The sequence below is a fragment of the Homo sapiens genome, chromosome 2, assembly GCF_000001405.40.
Source record: "Homo sapiens chromosome 2, GRCh38.p14 Primary Assembly".
Taxonomy (NCBI): Eukaryota; Metazoa; Chordata; class Mammalia; order Primates; family Hominidae; genus Homo; species Homo sapiens.
Genome location: NC_000002.12, coordinates 208,920,184 through 208,928,811, shown reverse-complemented (window position 1 = coordinate 208,928,811; position 8,628 = coordinate 208,920,184). Strand labels below are relative to the sequence as shown.

Sequence of the window (8,628 nt, the reverse complement as noted above, 5' to 3'; positions counted from 1 at the left end):
CAGAAAGCTTGGACCCTCTTTCCAAGCGTTCACCTGATTAGGTTAGGTCCACCTGGGATACTTTCCCTTTTAATTAACTCAAAGCCAGTTAATTTGGTGCCTTAATCACACCTGCAAAATCACTTCATCATTGTCATATAACGTAACCTAGTCAGGAGAGTGACTACCCTATTAGTTCACACTCCAGAGGATGGAATTACATACAGCATGTGGCTCAGGGAATGAAACTGTGGGGCCATCATGGAAATCTTCCTGCCACAGTTATCAGATCACATTCATTTTTTATTATCCTAATTACCAGTCTCTGATGTGCATCTTAATCAGCCCCATGAAACTAACTGCTGATTATTTTACTTTTCATTCTCAGTGTCATATTTGAGCAATTGTAGGTAGTGTTGAGAAGTTCTAGGAAATGTTTTGTTGCCAGTGGTATTTTACATTGACACTTTGAGGTCACTAAAATTATCCATTTTGTTAAGCTCATTAAAGCAAAACTATTACCAGTGAGAGGGTGATATGAGTAAGCCAGTTATTTCAATAAGAGATAATGCAACAGATTTGTACCAAAACAATAGAGTGCTTTGAAAAATTAGAGCACAGGGTAAATACATTTTGATGAAGATCACAGGGTCTCTAAATGTCTGGAACCCACAGGCCCTGGGATAAGTAGTGGAGTGAATAACAATGCAAAGCATACATAGATTTAAAATAATGTTTTCTTTTGTCTAGAAAAAACAGTATCAGCATAAAATTTTAGTTATAATTTATTTTAAAATAATTCAGCATTGACAGTGTGGCATGTATATATGTAGATTAATTTTAATCTACATTCAAGGAAAAGTCAGTTAAATGTTAAGTATCCTAATTAAAAAAACCACACTCTCAGGCCAGTCAGGGAACAACTGAAAGTCCCTAATTAGAGATGTGTAGTATGGAGGCTGCTGTGGCTTACATGTCAAATATCTATATCTGAATTCATACTAAGGAATTCATTAATCCATATGAGTAATATTAAACAAGTTATTCATGAATTGAGTTATTTTCAAAACACGTGAATTGGTGAGACATGTTGCCCAGGTAACTTCATCCTTGTGTGAGTGAAGCATACAAACCAAGCAAGTCTGGCAGCCAGATTTTATACCCTACCTTTGGAACAGCACTTGCCATCCAGAACTCCCTTTTTTATTATTGTCATTCATTATTTAATAGAAGGCTACATTGTCCAATCTAACTAGGATGTTAAGTGATGCTACCAAAAGAATATTATGACCCCATTATTACTTCAGAGTAAACCAGGAAGGTACTAGTTAGAACGTATAAAAGCAAAGAGAGAGAGTTCAAGTTTACAGTGATATTAAGAGTATTATTTTGGGGCTGGGCATGGTGGCTCACGTCTGTAATCCCAGCACTTTGGGAGGCTGAGGTGGTCGGATCACTTGGGGCCAGGAGTTCGAGACCAGCCTGACCACCATAGGAAAACCATCTCTACTAAAATTACAAAAATTAGCCAGGCATGGTGGCATGCCTATAATCCCAGCTACTCGGGAGGCTAAGGCATGAGAATTGCTTGAACTGGGGAGGCCAAGGTTACAGTGATCCCAGATCACACCACTGGACTCCAGCCTGGGTGACAGAGAGAGACTCTGTCTCAAAAAAATAAAAAATTAAGAAGGAGTATTATTTTTTAGCCTTTTTCCTTATAATTTTTTAGTGTGTCACAGACTTTGATTTATGACTTACTTTTACAGTACCCTAACACTAGGCAGAAGGTATTGATTTCTCACCCTCCTCTTATCTTGGAAGCTTTGGATATACATTGAATACACTCCGACAATTATGAAAGATAAAATCGGTGTCGTGAAACACACATGATATAAACAGCAAGCCATCACTTATACTCATTGTATTTCTATTAGTGTCTAAATTGAAATGATTGAGCATGCCAGGTAAATACTGATGGACATTTAGGTTGTTTCTGGTTTTTTCCTTTTGCAAATAAAGCTGATATGTATAAACATGTGCTTTCCATTTGTGGGGATGGATTAGAAGGGCTGGATAATATGGTAGGTGTATGGTTATGTTAAAAAACAAAACGGCTGACAAACTGTTTTCCAAGGTGGTTGTACAATGTCACATTCTCATCAGACGTATATATGTGAGTTCCAGCTTCTCTTCATACTCACCAATAGTTGGTGTGGTCAATCATGTAAGTGCAATTATGCAGCATTAGTCCTTCTGTGACTGGCTTACTTCACTTAGCATAATATTTTCAATGTTTAGCAATGTCGTTGTGTATAATGGAATTTCCTTCTTTTTAAGGCTAAATAATATTCCATTATCTTTGTCATTTTGGGCTGCTACTGCAAAATTCCATATATTTCTGTAGTGTGTAAACAACAGAAACTTATTTCTCACATTTCCAGAGATTGGAAAGTCCAGGATCAAGTGACTGGCAAATCTGATGTCTGGAGCCTGATTTCTAGCTTATAGGTGGTACCTTCCAGCTATGTCCTCACTTGGTAAAACAGGTAAGGGATCTCTCTGGGGCCCTTTTTATAAGTGCACTAATCTCATTCGTGAAGGATCTGCCCCATGACCTAATCATCTCTAAAAGCCCCCAACTTTTAGTAAAATCACTTTGTGGGTTAGGATTGCAACAGATAAATTTTGGAGGGACATAAACATTAATTTCAGGAAAAGAAAGAAGGGATAAACATCTTAAAAAGAAATCAATCAAAGCCTCTGAAAGTAAAAACTAACTTAAGAAATTTCAAATACAACTAAAAGCCTTTATCATAGACCAGATCATTCAGAAAGAATTTTAGAGCTTGAAGACTGGTCTTTTGAAATACCACAGTTAGAAAAAAAATAAAGAAAAAAAATTAAATGAAAAACTCTTCAAGAAATATGGAATAATGTGAAGTGACCAAACTTATGAATTGTTGGCATTCCTGAAAAAGGAGAAAAAGTAAACAACCTGGAAAAAAAATATTTCAGGAAATAATTCAAGAAAATTTCCCTAATATTGCTTTATCTCTAGACATAGAGATACAATAAATCCAGAAAACACCTGTGAGATACTACCCAAAATGAACATCTCCAAAGCATATATTCACCAGACTGTCCAAGGTCAGCACAAAAGCAAAAATCTTAAAGGCAGCTAGAAAAAAAGGTCAGATCATATATAAAAGGAACCCTGCAAGACCATCCACAGACTTCTCAGCAGATACCTTACAAGCCAGGAGAGATTGGGGGCCCATTTTGAACAATCTTAATGGAAAGAAAGTCTAACAATTTCATAACCACCAAACTAAACCTTATAAGTGAAAGAGAAAGAAAATATTTTCCAAATAAACAAGAACAAAAGAACAATACCTGTTCTTTTGTTTACGTAGCCCACAGACACTATAAAGCAACCACACAATAGAAACTACAAAGCAACCAGCTAAAAGCTTCATGGTAGGATAAAAACTTGACTTATCTATAATAACCTTGATTGCAAATGGTCTAAATGCCCAAGACCTATCCATGGGCTGTCTTCAGAAGACCCATCTCGAATGTAACAACACCCATAGGCTCAAAGTAACAGTCACAGAATGGTCTATCGCACAAACAGAAAACAAAAAAGAGAAGGGGTCACTATTCTCAAATCAGATAAAACAGGTTTTAAACCAACAACAGTAAAAAAGGACAAAGAAGGGCATTATATAATGATAAAGAGTTCAATTCAACAAGAAGTCTTAACTATCCTTAATTTATACACACCCTATTTTGGAGCACCCAGATTCATAAAACCAGTACTTATAGACCTACCAGAAGACTTAAACAGCCATGCAATAATAGCAGGGGACTCAAGCACTCCACTGACAGTGTTAGACACTCCACCAATAGTGTTAGACACATTAATGAAATCCTGGACTTAAAGTTGACACTTGAAGGATTGAACCTAATAAACATCTACAGAATACTCCATCAATCAACCACAGAATACACATTCTTCTCATCTGCACATGGAACATACTCTAAGATTGACCACATGCTCAGCCATTAAAGTAGGTCTCAATGAATTCAAAGGTATAGAAATCATACCAACCATACTCTCAGATCACAGTAAAATAAAAATAGAAATCAATACCAATAATATATCCCAAAACCACATGATTACATAGAAATCAAACAACTTGGTTCTGAATGACTTTGGGTAAACAATGAAATTAAGGCAAAAATTAAAAAATTCTTTGAAATAAATGAAAACAGAGAAACACCATACCAAAATCTCTGGGATATGGCAGAAGCAGTACCAAGAGGAAAGTTTATGGCTCTAAATGCCTATATCAAAAAGTTAGGGATATCTCAAATTAATGAGCTAACATCCCACCTAGAGTAACTAGAAAAACAAGAATAAGCTCACCTCAATGCTAGGAGAAGAAATAGAAAAGAAATAACTAAAATAAGAGCAGAACTGAATGAAATTGAGACCCAAAATCCATACAACCAATGAACAAACCCAAAAGCTGTTTACTTGAAAAGATAAACAAGATTGATAGATTGCTAGCTGGAATAACAAAGAAAAAAAAAAAGAAATATCCAAATGAGCACAGTCAGAATTGACAAAGGTGACATTATATCCCATCTCACAAAAATATAAAAGATGCTTCAAAACAATTATGAGCACCTCTATGCACACACACTACAAAATCTAGAGGAAATAAATTCCTGGCAACACTCAACCTCCTGAGATTGAATTAGGAAGAAAATGAAACCCTGAACCGACCAATATCACATTCCAAAATTGAATCAGTATTAAAAATCCTACCAAACAAAAAAAGCCCTAGACCACATAGATTCACAGCTGAATTCTACCAGATGTGCAAAGAAAAACTGATTCCAATTCTACTAAAACTATCTCAAAAAATTGAGGAGGAGGGACTCCTTGCTGTCTCATTCTGTGAAGCTAGCTTGAGCCTGATACCAAAACCTGACAAAGACACAACTAAAAATGAAGACTACAGGTCAATATCCTGATGAACAGAAAACTAACAAAGAAATTCTGGACTTAAATTTGACACTTGAAGAATTGAACCTAATAAACATCTACAGAATACTCCATCAATCAACCACAGAATATACATTCTTCTCATCTGCACATGGAACATACTGCAAGATCGACCATATGTGCAGCCATCAAAGTAGGTCTCAATGAATTCCTCAGTAAAATGCTAGCAAACCAAATCAAGCAGCACATCAAAAAATTAATTCACCATGATCATGTAGGCTTTATTGGGATGCGGTGTTGGTTTAACATACGCAAATTTAAAAAGCTGATTCACCACATAAACAGAGTTAAAAACAATAACCATTGGATCATTGCAATAGATGCTGAAAAAGCTTTTGATTAAATCCAACATGACTTCATGATAAAAATCCTCAACAAACTAAGCACTGAAGAAAAATATGTCTAAATAATAAGAGCTATCTATGACAAACCCACAGCCAACATCATACTGAATGGGCGTAAGCTGGAAGAATTCCCCTTAACAAGAGAAACAAAACAAGGATGCCTGCTCTTACCACTCCTGTTCAATATAGAATTGGAAGTCTTAGCCAGATCAATCAGGAAAGAGAAAGAAATAAAAGGCATCCAAATAGAAAAAGAAGTCAAACTATCTCTCTTCACTGATGACATGATTCTCTACCTAGAAAACCCTAAAGACTCCACAAGAAGGTTGCTGTAATTTCAATAAAATTTCAGGATACAAAATCTGTTTACAAAACTGAATAGCCTTTCTATATACCAATAATGTTCAAGCTGAGAGCCAAATCGAGAATGCAATTCCACTTACAATAGCCACAAAAACAGAACAAAATACCTAGAAATAAATCTAACCAAAGAGAACTATAAAACATTGCTGAAGTAAATTTTAGATGACACAAACAATTGAAAAAATATTCCATACTCATGGATTGAAAGAATCAATATTGTTAAAATGACCATACTGTCAAAAACAAACTATAGATTCAAAACTATTCCTATCAAACTGCCAATGTCATTTTTTCACAGAACTAGAAAAAACTGTTGTGAAATTAATATGAAGGTAAAACGAGAGCCTGAGTTGCCAAAAGAATCCTAAACAAAAAGGACAAAGCCAGTGATATCACATTACCTGACTTCAAGCTATACTACAATGTTACAGTAACCAAAACAGCATGGTACTGGTATAAAACAGAAACATAGACCAATGGAACAGAATAGAGAACCCAAAAATAAAACTACACACCTACAGCCATCTGATCTTTGACAAGGTTGACAAAAATAAGTAATGCAGAAAGGACTCCCTATTCAATAATGGTGCTGGGATAGCTGGCTAGCCATATTTGGAAGAATGAAAGTATACCCATACCTTTCACCATATACAAAAATTAACTCAAGATGAATTAAAGATTTAAATGTAGGACTTCAAATGGTAAGAATCCTAGAAGAAAGCAGGAAATACCATTCTGGACATCAGCCTTGGGAAATAACTGGTGACTAAATCCTCGAAAGCACTTGCAACAAAAACGAAAACTGACCAGTGGGAACTAAATGAGCTAAAGAACTTCTGTACAGCAAGAGAAACTATCAACAAAGTTAAACAGACAACCTACAGAATGGGAGAAAATATTTACAAACTATGCATCTAACAAGGTCTAATATCCAGAATCTACAAGGAACTTCAATCAACAAGCAAAAAACAATTAACCACATTAAAAATGGGCAAAAGATATGAACAGACTCTTCTGAAAAGAAGACATACCAGCAGCCAACAATCAAACGAAAAACTACTCAACATCACTGATTATCAGGTAAATACAAATCAAAACCACAATGAAATACGATCTCACATATAGTCAGAATGGCTATTATTAAAAAGTCAAAGGATAACAGATGCTGGTGAGGCTGTAAAGAAAAGGGGATGCTTAAACACTGTCAGTAGGAATGTAAATTAGTTCAGCTACCATGGAAAGCAGTTTGGAGATTTTCCAAAGAATTTAAACCAGAGCTACCACTTGACACAGCAGTTCCATTACTGGGTATACATCCAAAAAAGAATAGATCATTATACCAAACATGCACATACACTTATATGTGCATTGAAGCACCATTCACAATACCAAAGACATAGAATCAATCTAGGTGCTCATCAATGGTGGATTGGATAAAGAAAATGTGGTACATGTACACCATGGAATACTACACAGCCATGAAAAAGAATGAAATCATGTCCTTTGCAGCAAAATGAATGCAGCTGGATGCCATTATCCTAACCAAATTAACACAGGAATGCAGAAACAGAAAACCAAATACTTTCCACTGACTTATTAGTGAGATGTAAGCATTGGATACACATGGACATAAAGATGGGAACAATAGACACTGGGAACTACTAGCGGGAGAAGGGAAGGGGAGTGGCATGGACTGAAAAACTACCTATTAGGTACTGTGCTCGTTACCTGGGTGCAATATACTCATGTAACAAACCTGCCCATGTATCTAAAATAAATGTTAAAAAATTAATAAATAAAATAAAATATAGTACCCCCCAACTCAATCATAGCACTTAATATCATAGGGCTTTGAGTGGCAAAAATGGGTTTTATAACCGCTAAACTTCAATACCATGATTGTTTTCCAATCTGTCTATTATAGGTTAGCACAAAAAAAAAATTTAATTAAGATTTTCCTACTTCATGAAAGGATTAATGTTTATTTCAAATTTCATGAAACCTATACTTAGAATCTATTCAGCAAAAAGCTTTGTGTATTATGAGCTCGATGTTGTGGTCAAAAACAAAAAGTACCATGGATAGCTAAAAGAATCTCTAGTGGCAAAAACATCTAAGTATGTCCTCAAATATCACTAATATCATTAAGAAACTTTGAAGATAGAGCCAACTTAAAGTCATGATCTTCATCTGATTATGAATTTGTGGAAGCTCATTTTCAGAATATTCTTTCTCCAGCCCTTCAGAGTCTCTGGTCCTGATGTTCTGTGTCCTGGGTTCCAGGATCTTCAATAGGGATTTTTCACTAATTTTTGCTCTTTTTAGAATTGTGCCAAGAGCTAATTTTTTTTTTTTACTTCTGTACATCAAAAGCTCACAGTTGAGTCTATGGTCATATCACCCTGAACATGTCTGATCTCATCTATCTCAAAACCTAAGTAGAGTTGGGCCTAGTTAGTACTTGGATAAGAGACTGCCTGGGAATACTAAGTGCTGTAGGCTTTTAAAAAAATCTAAACTCAGCTTTATTTTTATTTTTAAATAGCAGTCTTTTGGTTTAGAAATGGTGTACCAACTAGATAACTTATTTAAACTGATTTTTAAAAAATAATTATTTATCTCTGTATTGTGATTTTAGGTAACATATTTGCATTTAAAAGAGATTAGTGTGTATGCAATGAACTTAATAATTTTCAATTTTTTAGAAAGATTTTTTATCACTTTCAAATAAAATTATGTTTTCTCTATTATATAAAACATATAAAAATGAAAATGCTCCAGTGAGTAGAGGACGGTGATGACTCCCCTTTCTTACTCTCACCTTTGAGTCACTTTTGAAAAGCACTAAGATCTCCTTAATCCAAT

General features: G+C 35.1%; 1 pseudogene; it reads left to right on the top strand.

Moving 5' to 3' along the window:
• Nucleotides 8,148-8,265, top strand: RNA5SP117 (RNA, 5S ribosomal pseudogene 117; annotated as a pseudogene).